Source organism: Homo sapiens, chromosome 5 (genome assembly GCF_000001405.40).
Source record: "Homo sapiens chromosome 5, GRCh38.p14 Primary Assembly".
NCBI classification, from domain to species: domain Eukaryota; kingdom Metazoa; phylum Chordata; class Mammalia; order Primates; family Hominidae; genus Homo; species Homo sapiens.
This window is the reverse complement of record NC_000005.10, coordinates 145,475,066-145,499,791: the sequence shown is the minus strand read 5'-3', so window position 1 is coordinate 145,499,791 and position 24,726 is coordinate 145,475,066. Positions and strand designations below refer to the sequence as shown.

Genomic DNA, 24,726 nt, shown 5'->3' with positions numbered 1-24,726 from the left:
TTCTCTGCTGTCCTTTCATTTCGGGGTCAGGGGTTTACATCAGCTCCCTTTAGCAGATTTGTTTCTCCTAGAACACAGAAGGTACTTGATGATCCCTTGCATCTGTCACAAATTCTTCTATCGCTGGGCAGAGTAACCACAGCTTCCCTCAGGCCCTGCAGATGTCAGGACACAGAAAGGAAATGCTAATGAAACCTCTCTCCTTCGGCTTCTCTGGCATAGATGCCTGACCCCTGGCTCCAGGCCCCACCCCACCCCATCCAGATCAAAGTCATGTCAGTTGTCTTTGGAGCACATTGAGAATTTCTTTCTCTTCTCTTAAACTAGTATTTGCCCATTTTTACTGCCTTATGTTGAAAGAATCATATTCATCATCAAAAAATTGAGAACTTCAGAAAAAGATAGAGAGGAAAATCACTAAGAGTTCTACAACTTAGAAATAACTATTTGTGATATCCTTCTAGTCTTTTCTTTCTCCATATGCAGAAATAAACATGCAGATATATAACTATATAATATGCTTTTAACATTTAATTTATTTTACGAGATGGAGTCTCACTCTGTTGTCTAGGCTGGAGTGCAGTAGCATGATCATAGGTCACTGCATCCTCAGCCTCCTGGGCTCAAGAGATCCTTCCACCTTAGCCTCCCAAGTAGCTAGAACTACAAGGTAACACCACCACACCCGGCTAATTTTTTAGCTTTTCCTAGTGATGGAGTCTTGCTATGTTGCCCAGGCTGGTCTCAAACTCCTGGCCTCTATATAATATACTTTAAAAGATATTTTCCTTAGAATTCTATTTATATTTTGTCTTTTTTTTAACTCAGTAGTATATCATGAATATTATTTCATGTTTTCAGTAATGGTGTAGTATTTTTTTCTCATTTTTGTTTTTTTAAGAGACAAGTTCTCAGGCCGGGTGTGGTGGCTCATACCTGTAATCTCAGCACTTTGGGAGGCCGAGGCAGGGAGATCACTTGAGGTCAGGAGCTTGAGACCAGCAGATCACTTGAGGTCAGGAGTTTGGCCAACATGGTGAAACCTTATCTCTACTAAAAATACAAAAAACAAAACAAAACAAAAAACAAAAATACCATAGCTGGGCATGGTGGTGCATGCCTCTAGTCCCAGCTACTCAGGAGGCTGAGGCAGGAGAATCGCTTGAACCGGGAGGCGGAGGTTACAGTGAGCTGAGATTGTGCCACTGAACTCCATCCTAGGCAACAGAGTGAGACTTTGTCTCAAAACAACAACAACAACAACAAAACAAAGCAAACAAACAAACAAAAAACAGAGAGAGACAAGTTCTCACTGCATTGTCCAAACTGGATTCAAACTCCTGGAATCAGGTGATCCTTTTGCCACAGCCTCCAGGGTAGCTGGGACTGCAGATGCACGCCACCATGCTTGACTGTGTAGAATTTTAATCATTTGGCTATATAATAATTCAGTTAACATATATCATATTTTTAAGCATTTATGTTGCCCTTTCTTGCTGTACAAATAATATTGACCTTCCTTGATTCTATTGTCTTTACATAAATTCTTAGAAGTAGAATTGCTGAGTTCTTAAGAAGATTTAGCTTCCTAATTTAGTTTTTTTTTACCTTGTTTTAAATTATTTTATAGTTTAACAAGGGACCCAAGATGAAGCTGGGTGGTATGAGAAAGTTTCTCTCTCTAGAGAATGCATGGCTGGATTATGAAGAGCTGATTAAAACTCAGGGTCTTAGAGAGTTATCAGTGGTGCCCACAGAGGGAGGCTTTTGAATCCTAGTTTAACCTAACAGTGGATTGAGAGTATTAGTGAAGGGCAAGTGTTGACAAACAAGAGCACAGGGTCTAAGGCTAGGGCCAAAACTTTTAGAAACAGGGGACTTCCACAGATGCCTTGTGGGAAAGTTACAACAATCCTCAATTCTTTGACAACAGAATTGATCCATGCCCAGCTGTCCAAAGCTTCCATCCAGATGTGCACTCCAGCATTAGGTTCACTTGCTAACCTTTTTTTCATTAACTGCACAGTCTCTGCAGGTAAATAAACCTCAAAATATTTTAGCCATCTGTTGTTCCAATGGCTCCTGGGATTGGAAACATGGAAATCTCCGAAACTACTTGAGTGAGCACAGGCAACTTTATGGCTATGTGGATCGGTGGCCATTAGAAATTTCCACTTACTTGTCTAATAGCTAGTATGCAGGCGTTTCTACTTACCTGGAACCCTGAAAACAATAACACTCCTAAGTTACTGCTGAAAAACACTGTAAACATTTTGATCATTATTCTTTCTGTAATATCTTAGTAGAAATTTCCCCAGAGACAAAGTTTTAAATGCAAGAAGTTTATTGGAAGGCACAAAGGAAATGGGTAGTTAAGGGGGAAGGATACAGAAAAGGGAAGAGATCATTAATAAAGACATATAGCCATAACGTTACATGTGGTAGTTCTTGCATTTTTTTCCTACTATGAGGATTTCAAGCTGGAAAGTCATATCTGATTTATATTTTGAAAAGATCATGACCCAGCAATACTGTACTACAAAAGCACAGTGGATGACTGGAACGGAATCCCCTGGGAAATCTCTAAAACATAATGCAAAACACAAGCCTTCAAATTATCCTAGACTGAGCTGGGCATGGTGGCTCATGCCTGTAATCCCAGAGCTTTGGGAGGTTGAGGTGGGAGGATCACTTGAGGCCAGGAGTTTTAGACCAGCCTGTGCAATGTAGCGAGACCCTGTATGTATAAAAATTAAAAACAAATAACTGAGCATGGTGGCACACACCTGTAGTCCTAGCTACTCAGGAGGCTGAGGTGGGAGGATCACTTGAGGCCAGGAATTTGAGGCTACAGTGAGCCATGGTCATGCCACTGTACTCCAGCTCAGGCAACAGAGTGAGGCCCTGACTCTAAAAAAAACGAACAAAACCAAATTATTGGGTCTGGTCTGAAAAGCATGAAAAGCAGACACCAAGACAGGCCAACACCTATGAAGGACCAAGGGGGAGTGAACAGGAGTAGGAAGAAAGAACTTTCAGACCACGAGGTAGGTTTGGCACTTGTGAAAGGAGAAAGGAAGGAGAAACCTCAGACCATAGCACAGTTCAGAGAAAATCTCAGCTAGACCAATGGAGAGTCTTCAAGCAAGAGTAGGCTATTCAGGCAGGATGATTGGTGGTCACAAGTGGAGCCTTGACCATGCCCAATCATTGGCTGGGTGTAGTCCAGGCAAAGCTTGTCCTTGACTGGCAACATGTTTTTCCTCCTAACTTGCTGGCCAATCCCTCTTGGTTCCTTTTGCTGGTTTATCTCTTACTTTCAGATCTCCAAGTATTGGATTTCCCAGGTTATCTCTTTTTTTCTGTATATACTTACCTCCTAATTTTCCTACTACTGTGGTAGCTTTCAATGTTATGTATATATTTGTGACCTACAAGTTTATATCTCTTGTCCAGACTTTGCCTCTGAGCTCTTTAGCCACTTCTGCTCATCAGTTCAGATATCTAACTGCCTATTTGGATGTCTAGTGGGCACTTCAAATTTAACAAGTCTAAAATAGAGCCAGAACACGAGTCAAATTTGTATATTGTCCTTATTTGTGTTTTTAATTGTCTTTCTTCTCTATATGCATGTAAGCTCCTATAAAGACATAAAGGTAGATTTTTGTCTGTCTTTTTTCATGCTTCTAATTTCTAAGAATAGCACATAGTATTACTATAGTATATAATAAAGAATATTTCTTAGCCCTTGAGACAGACAAACTTTTGTGAGATTGACTGGTATCTGAGCTAAAGCTGTGAAGGAACTTAGCATTATATAAAGGGCACATGGTAATGGAACACCTGACTCATTCTCCGGTGACTCACACTCTGAGCTAAGCTAATGGACACAGACAATTTTTATTCAATGAGGTAGAGCAAAGAACTGGTGCAAAACCCAGGGGAATTGAAGAGTTTAGAGCTTTAAAGAACACGTACTACCTTAAAAGAGATAACTAACCTACCATCCCAGCAAAGTCTAATGAGTACAATTAAATCTAGCATTATTAATGCATTAAGCTAAATGCTTTATATAAATCACTGTATATAATCTTCACAACAGTTATATGAAAGACATGCTAACATTATCCCTGTTTTCTAGCTGAGGAAACTAGGGCTGTGAGAATTTCTAAAGAATCTTCTAAGATGTAAGTGAAAATCTAGGAGACTAATATGAAACATTTTTAAATTCTGAAAGTCAGGCTGGGTGTATTCATGATGGAATTGTTTCCTTGAGGGAAGCCAAAAAGAAAAGGGGTTTAGCACTTAGGTTATTTAATGCCAAGATGAGACCAAGTTAGAGATGTTAGTCTTGGAACAATTTTGTGTTGGAAGAAAGCTTGGATTGACTAAATGCAAAATTCTGTTGCCTTTTGCCTAAATGATTCCATCCAAAAATAGTTCTAGCAGATTCTGCTGATGCTCAATTCACACTGTGTTATATCCTTGCATCATTCTCTTGCATACCAGCCTGATCTTCAATGTCCAGCCTGCCGGAAGAGGCAGGGGCAGAGTGCCTGATAATGGTGATGCTGAGAGACTGTGCCCATAAGTACAGAGAGGCCAGGTTAGTTGAGAAGTGAGAAATGACTACTGGATTGAGCAACATGGCTTTGGTGGCATGGTGGAGGCGAACATTTGATTGAAATGAGTTAAGGAGATAGTGGGAGGAAGGAAACGAGAGACAGTGAGCATAGACCACTTCTGTGAATGATTTGATAGCTACCTTCATCACTTAAAAAATGCAAACAGCTTACATCACATCTTTTTCTACTGCTGAAGACATATTGTCATTGGCACACTTAACATATAAGAATATCAGAGAGGAACAGCAGCATGACATCTGAATTAGGAATCGTAAAACTTGCATTTTAGGCTGAGCTTAAAATGTGACTAGATTTTTGCCCCTAAACAAGTTATCTCCCATTTTCTCATTCTCTTATCTATTCAATGAGATTTGCAGCTTTAGATTTCATTATTTCCCCAAGGAAATTAATTTGAATTGTCTCAAGTAAGATCTAATATTCTTTTCTTCTCATGGTACATAATACATATCCATTTGTTGTCAATATCTTTAATAAGAATATATACTTAAAATGTTCTATTCTCTCTCTTTTATTTTTTTTAACCTGTTACAAGATCTTTTCTTTAATGACCTCTGGAGACTTGATGAGGGAACTCCCTTATTACTTGGATATGACATGTCAGTTACCATTAACTTAAATGTGTGATCTTGTCAAGATTTGCATCTATAGGATGGCTTTTCATTTAAGCTACCAATTAACTAGCTATGACATAAATGTTGACCTTAAAGTTGAAACGTTTTATTAATCCTATATTGCTTTCAGTTAGAAAATTGTCCAACATACGGAAAATATTTCAAAGAAGTATTTTTTCAAGACTGAATACTGATTTGTGCCTATTTTCACACTTGTTTAGTGCCTATTTGACACTTTGGTCAAAGTTATATTTATATTTAAATGAACTAATTCTTTTTCAGCATAGCACAGAATATAGTTTAGTGGGCATAGTCTTTGGATTAGGAAAATCTGATTTTCAATCTTTGTTCTGCCATCTGCTAATGTTAGGACATTTTGCTAGTTAATAGACATCTCAAAGCCTCATTTTCCTTTTCTGTAAAATAAGAGACCCTGAGCTTTGTGAAGGACAAATGAGATATGCTTGTAAAATGTTATGCACAGTGTGTGAATCTAAGTAAATGTTCAGGAATCTATTATCACTGTGAACAAGCGACTTACGAAGTTTTAAAAGAATTAAAACATGTTATGATATGGTGCCTAGCCTCAAGGAATTTACACTCCAATGAAAGCATCTGACATATAGTTTAAGTGCAAGGAAATTCTTAAGAGTCATTTAAAAATATAAAAGCTAAGAACTGTGGGAATACAAAAGCAGAAATACTTCCAGAAGAAGAAATACTTCCAGCTTGGGATTTTAGGAGAAGCCTCATCATGGATATGATATTCTAGGAAGGAATAACGATTTTGTCTGGTGGGGAAGGAAAAGGAAAAGAGAGGAAGTGGAAGAGGCGGAGAAGGAAAGAAAAAGATAGACTTTTCAGGTAGCGAGAGCAGGTAGAGTAGCTTGAGCAAGGAGGGATGACTCATTCACACAGCTGGAGCAGAGTGATGGGAGCAGAGACTTGGGAGGTGAGAGCTGACAGATGAATTGGGGGTACAGGTAGGAAGACCATGTAAGATTTTAAAAGCCATGCTACAGTGTTTATCATAAGCAATGGTGGAAGCACAATTTTAGGCAAGAGAATGACACAATCAGGACACTGAAGCAATAGATCAGAGGTTGCAGGGAAACCTGAAAATCACGTTTAGTTGGTGGTCTGTGAAAGCCATTTAGATGAGCAAAGTGAAAAAACTGGATGGGGACTTTGGAGATAAAGGAAGGACAGAAATAGGGATTTGTTTTAGATGTGGGCCTGAAATGATCTGATGATCATCTGGACATAGGCAGCGAGGGAGAAGGGAGTATTAAAGCTGACTTCAGGGACAATCTGGGAGCAAGATGGTGGAGTAGAACTCTCCAGGGCTCATCCCACCATAGAAATATCAATTTGAACAACTACCCACATATGAAAATACCTTCACAAGAGCTATGAAAATGTGGCTGTAGCCCAATAAAAGGCACATGGAAGAGGGTCCGAAGAACAATTTTATATTACCCAAGACACCCCTCCCCAAACCTAAGCAGCATAGTGGCTGAGAGAGATACCATCAGCTTGGGGCAAAGAGAGGGAAGTGAATACAGAACATTGACTTTTACCCCAACACTGGGCTTACCACCCAGCACCAGGCAGATCCCCACAGTCCAAACTACAGACCAGTATCCATGGATTGAGCCTCTAGACTGACCCTGGTGCCAGGTGGGACCATATAACCCTAAGGCTTCAGCCTTGTGTGGTGGACTCAATCTCTGGCCTGCACCACTTCTGGGCCGACAACAGCAGCCCTAGATTCTGGACAGCCCTTAGCTATAGGCAGCCCTCCAGCAGCCCAGACTTCTGAACCCTATCTCACACTATATTCAGAAATCAACTCAAAATGGATTAAAGACCTAAATGTAAGACTCAAAACTGTGAAACTTTAGAAGAAAACATAGTGAAAAAGCTCTATGACATTGACCTAGGCAATGAATTTTTGGATATAACCTCAAAAGCACAAGTAATAAAAACAAAAATAGACAAATGGGATTATATCATACTAAAAAGCTGCTATAAAACAAAGGTAACAACCAACAGAATGAAGAGATAACCTACAGAATGGAGAAAATATTTGCAAACTATACATCTGATAAGGGGTCAATATCCAAAATATATAAGGAATTTATTAGCAAGAAAACAAAATGACTCGATTAAAAATTTTGCAAAGGACCTGAATAGACATTTTGCAAAAGAAGACATATAAATGGCCAACAGGTATATATGAAAAAATTCTCAACATGACTAATCATCAGGGGATTGCAAATCAAAACTACAATGAGATACCACCTCACATCTTGTATCAAAGCGACAAAAGATAACAAGTGTTGGAGATAATGTGGAGAAAAGGAAACCCTTGCACACTGTTGGTGGCAATGTAAATTAGTCCAGTCATTATGGAAATAGTATGGCGGTTTCTCAAAAAATTAAAAATAGAACTACTATAAGATCCAGCAATTCCACTACTGGGATCCAAAGGAAGGGAAATCAGTATGTCAAATGATATCTGCACTCCCATGTTCATTACAGCACTATTCACAATAGCCAAACATGGAATCAACCTAAGGGTCCATCAACAGATGAACGGGTAAAGGAATGTGGTATATATACAAACTGGAGTACTATTCAGCCTTAAAAAGAAAGAAAGCCTGTCATTGTGACAACATGGATGAACCTGGAGAACATTACATTAAGTGAAATAAGCCAAACACAGAAAGACAAATACCACATGATCTCATTATATGAGAATCTAAAAATGTTGATCTCATAGAAGTAGAAAATAGAATAGTGGTTACCAGGGTCAGGGGGTACTGGGGGGGTTACAGAGATATTTGTCAAATGATACAAAATTTCAGTTAGATAGGAGAAATATGTTTAAGAGATCTATTGTACAATATGATAACTATAGTTAATAATATATTGTATATATTATATTCTTGAAAAGCACTAAGAGAGTGTATGTTAAGTGTTACCACAAAAATGATAACTATGTAAGGTAATGCATATGTTAATTAGCTAGATTTAGTCATTCCACAATGTTCATATACTTCAAAATATTTGTACACAGTAAATACAATTTCATCTGTCAATTAAAACATATAAATTAAGGGAATAAAGGGGCAGAGCCTTTCAGAAGTGATTAGTCATGAAGGCAGAGCCCTCCTGACTGGGACTAGTGCCCTGATATAAGAGGCCCAAGGGAGCTCCTTGGCCCTTCCACCATGTGAGAGTGGAGACAGAACACACCATCTATGAGAAAGCATAGCCTTACCAGGCACCAAATCTGTTTGCACCTTGATCTTGGACTTTCCAGCCCCCAGAACTATAAGAAGTAAATTCTTGTTTTTAATATGTTAAGAAATATATTAAAAATAAAATACTGAGAATTTATTGTGCATGGTCTTTTTGGTTATAGATTCATTTTAACCTAAGTCTTATCAGTTTAATACATTAAATTGTAATTGTTAAAAAAAAAAGCTGTCATCAAGATTTCAAAATATAGGAGATACAGAAGAAGTTTTGAAGACAGGTGTTGGTAGGAGCAGAAAAATCTCATGCTTATAGGGACCAGGCAAGTAAGGGGAATGAATGAAGTAGGTTAGATTAGGGGTTTGATGGGGGGGTGGGGACTGTGGAAACTGTCCCGTATACCAAAGGAAGCATCTATTCAGCTTTAGTTAGTCGTTGTCATGGAGAATTCGTGTCAAATAATACCAGATCTTTCTGTTTTCAAGAGAAACTGAATTTTCAAATTTTAAAGTAATTTATCCTGTTTTATTTTCTTTAGGTTTAATTAAATTTAAACACTGTATAGGTGAAACAAAACAACAGATGAGAATTGAAAACTTATGATAAATTTATAATTGTTTATAATTGCCTGATATTTTCATCTATACATTTGCTTAAAGTACTGTTTATGTTTCCCTTTAGCATTTACACACATTTTTTCAACTGCCTTAGAATGGATATGATTCATACTTAACTGATTACTGTTACTACATATTCCAAGTAGTGGTTCTTTTCTTCTTTTCCTTTTGTGCTCTTTTCCACAATGGTGTTTCTTCTACAACATATATTAGTTTCAAGAGAGCTTGAGAAGAAGTAATCAATACATCCATAATATAAATTCTAAAATAAGCGGATGAGGTTTTAGACAGGGCAATATGTGTGTACACAGGTGTGTTTGTGTGTTCAGTTTCAGGTACAAGAGAAAGTGTGGACAAAGCATTTTTAAATAGACTGAGCTTCTGGGACTTAAAATGCAAGAGTACAAAAAAGGAAATTTTAAAAAGTCTAGATAAGCGCACAAAGAAAGAAATAAGATCCAGGTAAAAGAGCTTTTAAATGAATATTAACAAGCTGATTTATCAATCAAATCATACAAAATTTCTATGTCTTCTATATGGAGGTGTGATGATAGCTCAGTTGATTTTATTTTAAGCAACATCTTTTAAGAAATACTGAGAAAGAAATTGGGGTAAGATAGCACAGATGTATCATCTGCAAAAATTCAAACTAATCTTTCAATATAAGAATTCACATCAAATTTATGCAAAGTCGTTCTTTATATAGCAAGTTTTGATGCCATTGAAATAATGGATAATTTTTTTGGTGGAAATATAATCTTTTAAGGTTTTGGAAAAAATAAATGTATGTATTTCATGACTGAAAGAAAGCTAACGACAGAGAGCAAAGTCTGAGGCATAATTCTGAAGATAAAAGAGATCAGTTAATTCTCCCTCCAATCATTTTATCTTCCCAATGTGCTATTCATCTTACAGCTTGTTGCCTGGTAACCTGGTGATTATGAGGAATAATCATGGCATACCAACACTGAAGGTACAGGTGATTTTGTATTATGATCCCTGCTCGCTTTTAAGCTAGTAGGCAATAGTGGGTGGCTCAGTTCTAAGAGAAAGGGCTTTGTTGTTACAGGGAAAGAATGCTGGATATAAGATGACAATTTCGTTTCTACCAGGTACTGATTGTGGCTCTTGGAAAGTTCCTTGAATTCAGACAGCCTCAGTTCCCTCATCTGTATAATGGAGACAAACTTAGTACCCAACTATTTAAGTTGTCAGGAATCTTACATAAGATCATGCATGTAAAATACACAAATACAACTATTTTTAATATTAACAGTATTACTATCACTAAAATGGATAAAGTTTGCTGTTATTGGAGGCTAATTGGAAACACTGAAGTTATTTGTTATTGAAAGCTGAATCAAATAGCTAATGATGATGCTTCGTTTATCCGGTGGAATCCTTTAGTTGAAATTAAGATAAACTGACTCTGGCCAATTAAAGCCAAAAGGAATTTATAGAAAGGATATTCATGGTATACATATTCAATGGATGGCTGGCGAGCCAGGCTTGGGAATTGGAAGAAACCAGGATAGTCTGGGGGAATGATGCCATCACTCATAGATAGGGTACTGTAGCTGAATTGCTAGGCTCCATCTTTTTTGAACTCTCTTTTCCTCTTTATTTTTGAGATTCAAATTCCTGGTATGAATGCATGTCAAACTAGTCGCCCCTGGGTCACATGCTACCTCTTTTAACAATGTTGTTACCAAAAGGAAATCAGGACTGTATTAGAAATGGTAAATGGACACTCACAGCCTAAAAATTCTGAAAACAAACAGGTTTCCTAACTCCCCAAAATAAAAACAACAAAAAATGTCCTTTATACCAACTGTCATAAATGTGTGAATAAAAAACTACTAGGTCGTAAGAGGCCATGAACTCGATTGTATAGAGGCTTAAAAACTATTACTACCTAGTATTTATTCAGTGTTTACTATGTGCTAGGACTTGTGCTAAACCCACCAAGCAGATTACACAATGTGCATAAATATATTACTTACGTAATACTGAATGCCAGAGAATGGACAAATTGTAAATTTATTGAATTAGGGTCTTGTTTTTATTTGATTTTTATGAATAATTGTGGCTTCTTTTTTTCTATCTTAATCCTCATAATAGGAAGTTGTTATGATTATCAAATTAATCAGGAGTCTTTGGGTTTATAAGTGACAGAAACCCAACTCTAACTGAACTAAACAAAAACAGTAAATTGACTAGTTTATGCCGGTGGGAAAAACACGGGAGTGGCCCTCAAATTCCACGGAGTTGCTGCAGGAGTGAGGGCCTTGCAGTCAACACTGCCAGGTCAATCTTTCTCTCCATCAGGCTTTCCCTTTGCATGTATCTGATAATCTTAATTCTTTCCTACTGCAGACAGATCTTCTCCATATGGTGGAGAAATAGTCACTAGCTCACTAGCATCTTGAACTTTCCAGTCTTCCCAGCACCCCGTCTCCAAATCAGAACAGAAAGGATGGAAAGGTGGGTTTAGTTTTGTTTTTCCAATTCCTTTTTTTTTTTTTTTTTTGAGACAGAGTCTCGCTCTGTTGCCCAGGCTGGAGTGCAGTGGTGTGATCTCGGCTCACTGCAACCTCTCCCTCCCGGGTTCAAGCGATTCTCCTGCCTCAGCCTCTTAAGTAGCTGGGTCTACAGGTATGCACCATCACGCCCGGCTAATTTTTTGTATTTTTAGTAGAGATGAGTTTTCACCCTGTTAGCCAGGATGGTCTCGATCTCCTGACCTCATGATCCACCCACCTCAGCCTCCCAAAGTCCTGGGATTACAGGCATGAGCCACGCGCCCGGCCTCCAATTCCATTTCTTGATTTTTATGTCTGCTGTTGGAAAAGAAAAAAAAAACAAAAATAGTTTTAAAATCCTATTTCTATTAGCTTACTAAACCTGATACCCTTCCTTCCTCCATCTCTAAAAAATGGGGGAAGACAGAGAAATGGAATGAAAAATCTTCAAAGCTGGAAGGACAAAGGGAGTTTCCTGTTCTAGGATGTGATGTGAAGGGAAATTAGAAGATGGACTGTCCTGAAGCATAGACATGACCCTCTCCAACTCATCATCTGAGATCAGCTGTCCTGGTAGGAACCCCTCCAGCCAACCCTTCCTCAAGTTATATACTTCTATCTACTGGAAAATTGACATTCTATGCTGATTTTATTGGAGGAAGATACTACTCGCATCAGTATTAAAATTGTCCTAATGGATACAGAAATCTATGACATCTACAAAGTGAGTAGTGCCCCTGGGATCAGATAGTTTCCACCTTTACAACTTTACAGAGTTCTATACACTTCATAACTCTCCCGAATACAGTGGAAATCCCGTATGCTCTGTTTGGGGACTGTGGCCTGAAGAAAGACTGTGGCCCCCTGACGACTTAGTCTTTTTTTTTATTATTATACTTTAAGTTTTAGGGTACATGTGCACATTGTGCAGGTTAGTTACATATGTATACATGTGCCATGCTGGTGCGCTGCACCCACTAACTCATCATCTAGCATTAGGTATATCTCCCAGTGCTATCCCTCCCCCCTCCCCCCACCCCACCACAGTCCCCAGAGTGTGATATTACCCTTCCTGTGTCCATGTGATCTCATTGTTCAATTCCCACCTATGAGTGAGAATATGCGGTGTTTGGTTTTTTGTTCTTGCGATAGTTTACTGAGAATGATGATTTCCAATTTCATCCATGTCCCTACAAAGGACATGAACTCATCATTTTTTATGGCTGCATAGTATTCCATGGTGTATATGTGCCACATTTTCTTAATCCAGTCTATCATTGTTGGACATTTGGGTTGGTTCCAAGTCTTTGCTATTGTGAATAATGCCACAATAAACATACATGTGCATGTGTCTTTATAGCAGCATGATATACTTAGTCTTGATCACAACTGGTAGAAACTACCACTATGACTAAGGTAGTAGAAGATGTATTCTACTGATGCTTATGATTTTCTTTGCTTTTCAATCCCTTATTTCCTTAATTTTATGGAATACTTACTGACAGCACATGCCACCTTACATTCTACATGTGCCCAGACTGAATTTTCCCCAAGAGCGGTCTTACAGAAAAATGCACCAAGATACAACTGGTGTTCTTACATGGAGGTTGTGGGGTGTGGTGGCCAGAATTGTGATTGGCAGGAAGAGTTTAAGAGCACTGGACTCATTGCATGAATTTTATTTTACATTGAAAAAGTGTTTCTGAGGAATAGCCTCATTTATTCATTAATTTAACAAATTATGAATATAAATATGCCAGACATTGGCTAGACACTGGGGATAACGTGATGAACAAGTTGGGTAAGATTCTTATCCTTACTGACTCTAATGAGAAAATTATAGACCCCCATGCAAACTATAACAATTAAGTGTGGTAAATGCTGTGATAGAAAAATGACAGACATTTATGGAAATGAGCAGAATGAACATCTAATTTTAGGGTTCTGGGAAGATGTTATAATCTGGCTTTTGACTTGGCTCTATCCCCCTATAGTGAAGTCATTGGCTTTTTGGCACAGTGCTTTAATAGGCTCCTAAACTAATTTCTAGGTGAAAACAATGAGAGAACTCACAGAAAAACATAGGTCCTCCTATTTCCACTTTAAACTTTATATCTGTGTTAATAGGTGTACGTATGAAAGTTGGAAATGTGTCTGACAATGAAAGCATGCATCCCTGTGTTCTTATTATAGGTGAAGATAGATAGACCTATATAAATAATTTTTCATGGATAACATAAAAGTTTCAATTAAGATCTCAGTAGGCATTTAATACATAACTCCTAAATGAAGTTCTTTGCATTTGTCTTGATCAACAAATTACTTCCCTGGGTGATAACCATAAACAGCTTAATTTGGCAGGAGAATGAGCATGTACCTTATGTTTATGGATAAAAGGGTGCTTGCTACCTGACGACTCAGGTGCTGAGGAGTCTCTGGTCAGGGACAGACGTTGGTGGGAGTGGAATGGATGGGTGGGTTGCAGCGGTTAAGACTGCCATTTTAGCACAGGCACGCAGAAGTGCCAAGAACTTGAAAGCATGAGAGATAGCGAGCGAGGAAGCCAAGCCAGTTAAGGATGGCCTCCAATTCATGGTTGACAGCCAAGAGTAACTTGTGGTTAACAGAGCAGGCAAACACGCTCTACATACATGCACTCATTCTGAATGTGCTCTAGGTAAGATTATCTCAAGTTCTGTGGCTAGCTTTGAACTGGAATCACTGACTAGTAGTATGCCAATATCTCTTTGTATGTTCCTTGGAAGTACTTACCTCACTTTAAATTGTCAGATATACATATGTGATAGCCAAATTTATTCCAGACTTAAGGCCTTGGCAGTTGCCACTTGCACTGCCTAGAACCCTGTCCTCAGATTGTCCTGTGGCTGACACTTATTTTGTCAATCTCTTCTCAGTGTCACTATTAGTTCTTCCAGAATTCTTTCTTGAATTCATTTTAAAAAGACAAACCAGAGCTTTCTGTTATATTTTAGTTTTATTATCTTGTAGCATGTATGACTGTTTGAAGTTATCTTAAAGATTTTATAATTGGCTATTTCTTTATTATAGGCATGTTTGGATATTGCTATGTTGCAGGTATTCTTCCTTCTGGTCTGGAAGCTCTATGACAACGACGAATTTCTCTATCTCATTCACCTTTGTACCCTCAGAAGCTAGAAGAGCCCCTGGTAGTAGCTCCTCTCTGTTGCTTGAGGGCAAGAATTGTATCTCAGACAAAGTCCTGAACTTGATGTCTAGCACAGTCAATGAACATAAAGATGCTCATTAATATTTAGATTTCTCTAATGGGAAATACAGTAAAACCTTATAGAAGTAACAGATAATGAACATTAAGTGAACTCCTTGTTGGCTAAAAGAGGTAGTTTTTTCTTAACTTTTAAGTTAATTTAAAATCAGCTTTTTGTGTGTGTATTTGTGTGTTTAGTGTCCAGTTGAGTACCATTATGTGACAGGTGCTTTTAGAAGTGAAGAAAGGTAGAAGTGTCCTTGCCTTTTAAGATCTTATACTCTGTTTTAAAATGAGCCAATGAAATGCTTTCTCCTTTCTAGTATTTGTAAATGGAGGCTACCTGTGTTCTTAGACATAATGATATTTGTTGAAGAATGAATCAATGTATCAATGAATAAGGAATCAATGAACCAATAAGAAATAGAAGAGCTAAGGGAACAAAACACAGCCAATTTGTCTATGAGTCAGTCTATGAGTCAGAGTAGGAGGATCTGCTTACATGAAGTCTTTGACTCATGAAATAGGCTACATTGATTTTTTAACCCAATGGAAGTCACTGTTTCCTTGTGCTCATAGCATTGTTTCTTACCCCATGGGATGCTTACGGTGTCCCTGTGCCTGTAATGCCCCTTCCTCATAGTCTCCATATGTTCAAAGTCCAGGCACTAAGGATAAAATTAAACATCATCACTTCAGTGAAATATTTTATTGCCTCCCTTGTAGTAAGTAATTTCTCCTGCCTCTGAATTCCGAGAATGCTCTACTGATTCCTTGCCTGTGGCACTTAACCTTCCCATGTTAAATTACCGTTATTTATGTCTGCATTTGATTTTCTCTTTTAGACTCTCAGCTCTTCAAGGGCAGGCTTCATTGATGATTTATCTGAGTAGCCAACCTTCAGTAATTTATTCAATAAATCTTTACTGAAGAGTTATTATATGTCAGGTACAGTGCTCATTTTGGAGAAACAGTTGTGAGCAACTGACACAGACAAGGGAAACACTCACTTGCCCTGTATTATAGGGTTTAATAATAGAGAATAGTATTAATGGCTTTTATATGTTAAGCACTTCGGCCGATTTAAGACAATTATCTTAGCATATTGTGATAGGTAAGGACATAGGTTTTCAACTCCGTAGATTGTGATTTAGTTCCTGGCTCTATCACTTGTTGGATGTGTGGTCTTGAAGGACATAGGTTTTCAATTCCATAGATTATGATTTAGTTCCTGGCTCTATCACTTGTTGGATGTGTGGTCTTAAGTTGGTAATACAACCTCTTGGAGTTTATGCCTCAGTTATTACCACAAATAATGCTGTATAACCAAGCCAAAGCAGATAAAAGCAGAATTTATTAGGCTCATGAGTCTGTGGATTGATTGGATGGCTCTTCTGGTCTGGACTAGACTAGGCTGGTCTTAGGACTGTGGCTAGCTCATGTGTCTGTCTGTGATGAGCTAATGAGTCAGCCAGGACAATGATGCAGTCTAGAATAGCCTCACCCTCTGCATAGCAAGCCTGCACTTCCACACATGGTGGCTCTGGGGATCCAAAACAGCTAGTAGAAACATGCTATTTGTAATGTAGGCTCAGAATGGTCAGAGTGTCACTTTTGTCTAATTCTACTGCTTGAGCAAGTCCCAGGGCCAGCCCAGATTCATGAGGTGGGAAACAGACTCTATATTTTGATGGGCATTGCTGCAAAGTCACATCGTACAGGGTGTGAACACAAGGAGACATCAACAATTGTGGGCGATTTTTGGACTTCATCTACTACAACTTCAGTCTATAAAATAGAGATGATAATAATAGTCCCCATTTTATAGGTGAATTGTGAAAACTGTTCGACAGGTGTCCTCAACCCGCAGGCCACACAGCAGGAGGTGAGTGGCAGGTGAGCCAGCGAAACTTCATCTGTATTTACAGTTGCTCCCCATTTCACGCATTACCGCCTGAGCTCTGCCTCCTGTCAGATCAGCAGCACATTACATTCTCATAGGAGCGCGAACCCTATTGTGAACTGTGCCTGTGAGGGATCTAGGTTGCATAAGTCTTATGAGAATCTAATACCTGATGATCTGTCACTGTCTCCCATCACCCCCAGATGGGGCCATCTAGTTGCAGGAAAACAAGCTCAGGGCTCCTACTGATTCTACATTATGGTGAGTTGTATAATTATTTCATAATAGCTTACAGTGTAATAATAATTAGAAATAAACTACACCATGAATGTAATGCACTTGAATCATACCAAAACCATCCCCTTCCCAACAACCCAGTTCGTGGAAAAATTGTGATCCAGAAAACCAGTTCATGGTGCCAAAAAAGTTGGGGACCGCTGCTGTGTGAGATAATGTGGAAAAAGCTGGATTGTTACCTGGCACTTAAGAATAACTGTAAATGTTGGAAGTTTGTTATTATTATATCATGTATCCTCACAGCCAACCATATGGAGATATTATTATATCCTCATCTTACAAAGGAAGATTATGGAGCCAGGATTCAAATGACAGTTTGTTTCACCTTAAAGCTTGTAGCACAGATTTCTTTCCTGTTTTGTTTTGTTTTTCCTTTCTGAATACACAAGCAGACATTTTTCATTCTCCCTTGCTGTTAGGTGTGACTATGTGATAAGATTCCAAATGGGGAACAGATTACTATGAGGTGCTTCCCTGCTGGCTCACAAAATCCTTCTGTGTGGGATCTTACATGTTCTTTCCCCTTTCATGGCTTGAAGCACATAGCACAACAGCTACATGAACCTTAGAAGTTATGTGATAAAGATGACAGGGCCACGGAATGAAAGGAGTCCACGTCCCTGAATCTCCATGTGGAAGAGAAATCCCTGCAGAACTGGAATTCTGATTTTGGATTTTAGTGAGCCAGAAGTTAAGTTTTATTGTGAATGAAGTGTTGGAGTTCGTTACATCAATAACTAATACAGTTTAGTTGTAACAAACTAATACCAACTGTAACAAATTCATTAATTGCAGTTAGGTTTTACTAGCTATTACAAATGAACCAATACAGAATTTAATTTCTAAAATACTGTGCTATACAATTTAGAATAGTTAAACCTTTCCTAGACAGTATTTTGTATATATGAGGCATTCTGATGTTTGTTGAAATGAGAGGATTCCAGAGCCAAGCATAAGCTTTCTAGTCACTTAATTCTATTGGTACTTCCTTTCTGCCTATGATTTCCTTTCTTTCTTTCTTTCTTTCTTTCTTTTTTTTTTTTTTTTTTTTTTTTTTTTTTGATTTCCTTGCTTTCTTATCACCCAGAGAAACTTGTTCCTTTTTGGTCAAAGTGGACTTAACAGGTTGAGGGACAGCTAATTTGGACCAGAAGATCCAATTCTCTAGAGTACCATTATTAGAATCCATTTTATCTACATAAACAAGATCAAATAATATTTTCAGGCAAAATGAAAAAAATTGAAGACCTTTTCTATAGATTGAAAATATTTGTTTTAGGGTCTCTGTGTTCAATTCTGAGGACAACTAGGGTCAGGGAGATTCTAAGAGGATTGAAAGTAGGTTTTAAGCACTCTTTTGTGGGAGGAGAGGAGTTAAGAATTAAAAGTTAAAAGAAAAAAGGTAGGAAAAAAGCTACTGAAAACAAACCAAATAAACCAAAGGTAATGCAGCCCTATTTGAAGCCAATGAGAAAAAAATTTACACTACATTCCCATTGGCCCAGAAAGAGGAATTCATACTAATTGGCACGATTATAGAAGCTCTAGGTGAAAAGTAGGGCTTTTATCTTACGATAATTATATGAAACCTCTGCTGTTGACCCCACTCAAATAATGTAACTTCTGCCTTACAGGACCAAAGAATTATAGAGGCTGACTATAAAAATTTAGAGCCATGGAGTAAGAGGTCTAGTTACATCCCTTAGAAGGAGAACAATTAGCATACAATGGCATCTCAGTGAAATAGAACTTAACTTTTAAAACATTTCCATTTCTATTCGGTAACCTCGCTTTGAAAGAAAAATAATATAGTTGACATTTAATGAATACTTACTATTTGCCAAGCAGTCTGAGTTGAATTAGAAAGAGGCAATTAATAAAATCAAGTTGAAATCAGAAATTTTATGAAAGCAAATTTTCCTCTTTTTTATTTTTTAAATGTAGCAGATCTCAGGGAGGCTTTGAGTAGAGGAAAAAATCACTTAACAAAGTCTTAGGTGGAGTCTTGGTTCTGGCACTTGGTCAAACAGTCCTTTTTATTCATCTGTAAACTGGAAATAATGATATCCTCCATTGAAGATCAATGAAATAAAATATGTGAGGGCATTTTTCAAGCCACAAAATGTAGGGTAAATGTAATTTAACTGTAATTTTACACTTACATACACATATTTAATTATTTTATTTACAGTGGATTCTGGCAGGAACAAATAGCACAATGAAGGTTTTGAGAAAACTTAAAAAAATTTTGCACGTGGTTAATATCTAGGAAACACCCTGTATATCATTGATACTTCTTTGTTACCCAATAAGCAAGCAAAAACCCACAACCCAATAAATATATTACAACAAAAACCCACTCCAAAACACAGCAAGGTACAATAAGCAAATACATCTGCAGGTGATTGCTATATGATGGAAACTAGTAAATGACATAATTCACTAATATTTTTTATTTCTTCCAGTAAGTCATTAGATGCTTAAGAGAAGCGGCTTATGACAGTTTTCATTTTCATTAAATATTTATATTTACTAATGGCAATTGTTCTGACAAACTGGGTAAATTGAGCAACTTAGGAATTTATGCTTCAAAAATAGAAGTTCTGGAATTCCTAGTGAGCAAGCTAATGCTTGAGTCATTAACATGCCATTGATTTTATAGTTAAAAAGCTGGAAAGGAAATATAGTGAGTGTTTTAAATGTTGTGATAGTTGTTTATCTTGATACTTAAATCACAAGTCTTTTGATTGTAGATATCCATTAGCTATGAAACATGCTCCTGTGGATTTTTCAAAGGATCCTCTTTCAGTTCTCTGGGGTTATCTTACCCCCCTTTTTTGTCATCTATGAGGAAGAAAATGACAATGAACCATTCTTGCCATGTAGTGGCTAAGGAAAGGATCATAAGTTTCAGAAAATTGGAAGACCAGAAATTTGAATACAGGACAAAATTTCTGTTTCTGGAAGGCAAAAGACCTGAGTTTCTGGGGAACTATGAGAGATTAACTTAACCATAATTATTCAACATTAGTCCAATACATATTTACTGAGCACTTACTGTGCACCAGGCGCAGTGCTCAGGATGCAGTAATGAACAAGAAAACACTGTGTCTGAACTCAGGGTACTTAAGGCAGACAATTAAGTGAATGGTAATAACACAATGTGAGGAATGTGATGACAGGAAGCTGTGAGCACACATACACAGGGGCCGTAAGTTCAGGGACTGTCTTCCTGATGAGTGATGTATGCTGGGCTCTGCAGGATGAACAGGAGGTAGGAGTGTTCCAGGCCATGGAAACAACGTGTGCAATGGCCAGGAAATTAGAAAGAGTATGGTGTGTGTTGTCAAGCAAATGGGCTCGCTGCCTGATGCACACAGAAGCCAATAACTATGGCACCAACTTTTGAGAAAAGAAAGCTTTCTTTCAGCAAAGAGACAGAAGCAGGCTCAAATCTGTCTCTCTGATTTGGGATCTGGGGCAAGTTTTAAGGGATCAGAGAGCAAGGGAAAGGATTTAGGAACGTTGGTTTGGCAGGGTCTGATTGGAGGGCTTCAGATTTGAGCATTTACAGTAAAGTATGTTGAGGCAGATTTTAGCCTTGGATCTTCCTGGCCAATGGAGTCCTTACTTCTTAAAGAGTTCTGATGTTCAGGTTCTGGTCAAGTCTCAATCTTCTTGATTCTGAAGGCAGAGGGGAAGAATTGTGACTTCTGGGTATTGTTAGAGGTCAAAGCTTTTTCTATTGCACATGCCCAGGCTATACAACTTGCAGTTTTTGGCTCTGTTATGGCTAAAAGGCAACCTGATATTTTGTTATCAACAGAGTAGATCCAGTTTGGGCTGGTCCCACAGTTACACATGTTCCAGCCACCAAAAGACAGCGTGGGTAAAATAGTTATCGAATAAAACCTAACATGAGCTACAAATGTGAGTCATACAAGTAAACATAACATTTATAATTCTAAACTTTATAGCAGTCACATTAAAAAAGTAAGAGGAGGCAGATAAAATTAATTTCAATAATATGTTTTATTCAGCCACAAATGTCCCAGAAACTATCATTTCAATGTGTAATCAGTATAAAATATTAAGAAGACACTTTATATTTTTTTTCTTTTTCTTTATTTTTTGGAGACGGGGTCTTGCTCTGTTGCCCAGGCTGGAGAGTAATGGCGTGATCTTGGCTCACTGCAACCTCTGCCTCCTTGGTTCAAGCGATTCTCCTGCCTCAGGAGGATCCCCCAGTAGCTGGGATTACAGGTGCGCACCACCATGCCCGGCTAATCTTTTGTACTTTTAGTAGAGACGGGGTTTCACCATGTTGGCCAGGCTGGTATTGAACTCCTGGCCTCATGATCTGCCCGCTTCTGCCTCCCAAAGTGCTGGGATTACAGGTGTGAGCCACTGCACCTGACCTATATTATTTTTTTCATACTAAGTCTTTGAAGTTCTGTGTGTTTTTCACGTGAGCACAGCTCTATTTGAACTAGCCACATCCAAGTGTCCAAAGTCAAATGGCTACTACCCTGGACAATACAGGGCCTAGACAGTAGAACAAGGGCTCGAGTGGTGAGAGATGGAAATGAACAAGTAGAAAGGAACCAAATCTTGAAATTTATTTATTTATTTGTAACCCATTTAATTAGACAAAGTGGTCTTTAAGGTTCTTCTAGCCCTAAAATTCAGTGAACCACTAGCCTATCTTAATGTAGGAGTGGTAAGAAATAGCCCAAACTGACTGTTCTCACCTTAACATCTCAAATTTCTCTTCCTCCCCACTTCCCCCTTTCCCTCCTATTCCTCTTCCTCCTCTTTTCCTTCCCTTTCTCCTCCTCCTTCTCTTTCTTATTCTTTTTATTCTTTTGACTAAAAAGGTATTTATACATGCCACTGACCCAGGAATGCCACAATGCATATACTTGCACTCACATAAAATTTTATTTAAAGCTAATTTCTCTTGGTTCATTTTGTAGGGCTTCCATTTGACAGTATTTATAGTAGAATTTTATATAGTAGATTTTACCTTCTGGTGATAGCACTTTCAGTTTTCTTTGGGAACTGTGATTCATTCCTCCATTTTAAGTCAATGTTGTCCAGGTGTGGCTAGCCATGCTCCAAGTCCAGGGAGAGGTGTGTCTTAGGCCTATGCATGCATTCTTGGCCATAGCGATTGGTTCACTGATGGGCCTGTTGCATAAATCATATGAATCAGGGCCAAACAGAGCTCATTTGGGGAATTTTTCTTGAGCTATTGGGATATAAGTATATACTATTCTTTCTGTTGGTAAAATTATTCATAGGATAGGATAGGATGTGGACTGCAGTGGATGGCCGCCATCTTGTCTCTATGAGGAGAGACCTTGCTTGAGAATGAGCAAACACAGAGAAATGTAGAGCAGTGAGATGGGAGAAGCAGAGCTTTGAGAAAAAGCCTTTTGTGCTCCTGGATCCAGCTGTACCTGAAGTGCAAAGATCCAATCTTGGTCTTTCCAGTTTTATAAATCTCTGTATCCTCTCTCTCTCTTATTCGGATAAAGCCTCTTTGAGTTGGAGGTAGATCTGGAGTTTCTACCACTTGCCATGAAAAGATTACTGGATAAATCTTCAATAAGATTATTGTCAACTGAAACAGTTTACAGAATGGGCTCCAGAATTATATTATAGAAAAACATCATTGAATACAAATTCTAATGCCTGAAAAATATGTTTTTTCTATGAGCTACTATTAATTATTAACGAATTAAGGCATTTGCTCATTTTATTCAATGTTTATTACAAATATATGATTTATCAGGCACTGTGTTCTGCCTTATGTGTTATATTGTGTCAATTATTTTCCTGATTGTTTTTCTCATTCCTCTGTGCGCTTTTGGGGACAGAATACTCCTGCCCAACACCACATAAAAAGGAGAATTTATAAATAAAAATAGAAGCAAGATCTATGCATGTGAAAGGTGTTTCATTCTTTTTTAAAATTGCAAGTCTCATACTCTTTGAGAAGGAACAATTAATAAATTTTTATTTTTTTAAGATGGAGTTTTTTCTTTTCACTCTTGTTGCCCAGGCTGGAGTGCAGTGGCGCAATCTCGGCTCACTGTAACCTCCACCTCCGGGGTTCAGGCGATTCTCCTGCCTCAGCCTCCCAAGTAGCTAGGATTATAGGTGCATGCCACCACACCTAGCTAATTTTTGTATGTTTAGTAGAGATAGAGTTTCACCCTGTTGGCCAGGCTGGTCTTGAACTCCTGGACTTAGGTGATCCACCAGCCTTGGCCTCCCAAAGTGCTGGAATTACAGGCGTGAGCCACCACTCCTGGCCTGGAACAATTAATTCTTTCAAATTTATCTTCTTCTACTTTACGCATGTCACATAATTTTCTGCATATTTTTCTAACTATAATTTTGGAGAACTTTAGAATTGATTGTCTCCCAAAATTGTGACTAGAATAAATGGGCAGTTCAAAAATAAATCCACATCTAGACCTTACCCCCAGTGCATCAGAATCACTTGGGATGATTATTTGAAATGAAAATTCCTGGGCTCCTTTTGTTCAGAGATACTAAATTGGAGTCTTTTTGGTAGAGTCCTTAATTTATATTTTAACCAGATGCTTTAGAGAATCACATGCACAGTTAAGTTTTAGAATTACTTGGTTGCTTAGGAAAACAATCCATAAGCATTGCAGGATAGAGTGAGAACATGGACTGGCTTTGAGACTTAGACCATTAGCATTTAAATATTATTTATCTACTTTAGTCCACCTGACAACAAATAATTATTTTTAATGATTATAAACATTTCACATGGGAAAATATTTTATAAATATTATTCACCTATTAACGTATGAACAGAATTTTATTAGTCACAGGTAAATACTATAGATCATAGAGACTATTTATTAAATTTAATTATAGCATGTGAACTCTGTCTAATGAGAGATTAGCTGACCAATATTAACTTAAGCTGGAAAAGCTGGGCTAATACTATTCTTTTCAAACAAGAAATAAATCTTGTTCCTAAACTCTATTCTTACATATTTTATACAAACTCTTAAAACATCTTGGTCAACTTTTTTTACATTAGCCTGTGCTGTGAGTTTTGACATTTATTTTAAATTTTGTATTTCCTTGCAAAAATGGTTGGTACAATGCATTCATGTAGTAAGAACTGCGTTTGAGAATGAGATCTTGCAAAATAGAAATAGCCACCTGAAATTGAGATTTGGAAAGGGGACTGAAAGAGAAGCTCAGATCACAGTGGATGTTTAGGCTGCTTATTTTTTCAGTTTCATAAGCTAAGTGGAAGTCTTATCATGCCCACAATATTTTCTGGGCCCTGGTAACATTCCCACATAGTTTATACTTGGATAAAATATTAAAACCAAATAAAGCAACTGGGAAGAGTTTCTATTTCAAGGAATGTTAGATCACTTGAATGTTGGCCTCTAATTCTGGCTAGCTAACTTACTTTTATTAAGTTCATTCATTCATTCCTTCATTCATTCAACAAGTGTTCGTAAAGTGCCTGCAATATGCCAGCCACTCTACTAAGCATTTGAGATGGAATAACATGCACATACCCTGTCCTCATGTGTCTTATCATCTGGTGATTCTAC

The 24,726-nt window shown here is 37.9% G+C and overlaps 1 protein-coding gene and 1 long non-coding RNA gene across 4 annotated transcripts in view, besides 2 other annotated features; one reads left to right on the top strand and one right to left on the bottom strand.

Moving 5' to 3' along the window:
- PRELID2 (PRELI domain containing 2) overlaps nt 1-24,726 on the top strand; it is a 606,358-nt gene that overhangs the window by 335,551 nt on the left and 246,081 nt on the right. The gene's annotated exons all lie outside the window — the stretch shown is intronic.
- Nucleotides 15,339-15,539: a silencer, noted in NCBI's record as "peak5512 fragment used in MPRA reporter construct". NCBI's record gives its function as "represses an SCP1 promoter by STARR-seq MPRAs in K562 erythroleukemia cells {active_cell/tissue: K562}" and the evidence as "EXISTENCE:reporter gene assay evidence [ECO:0000049][PMID:32103011]".
- LOC105378211 (uncharacterized) overlaps nt 19,867-24,726 on the bottom strand; it is a 50,059-nt gene continuing 45,199 nt past the window's right edge. Inside the window, exons 2-3 of one of the 2 annotated variants that reach the window (XR_007058983.1) lie at nt 20,739-20,791; nt 19,867-19,951 (exon numbers count right to left, since the gene is read on the bottom strand). This is a non-coding gene — a long non-coding RNA (uncharacterized LOC105378211). Of the gene's footprint in view, nt 19,952-20,679; nt 20,792-24,726 lie in introns of both variants that reach the window. The other variant, XR_001742911.2, reaches the window with a different exon arrangement.
- Nucleotides 19,922-20,422: an enhancer, noted in NCBI's record as "OCT4-NANOG-H3K4me1 hESC enhancer chr5:144858933-144859433 (GRCh37/hg19 assembly coordinates)". NCBI's record gives its function as "activates a minimal SCP1, AML or CMV promoter by ChIP-STARR-seq in primed H9 embryonic stem cells {active_cell/tissue: H9 hESC(primed)}" and the evidence as "EXISTENCE:reporter gene assay evidence [ECO:0000049][PMID:30033119]".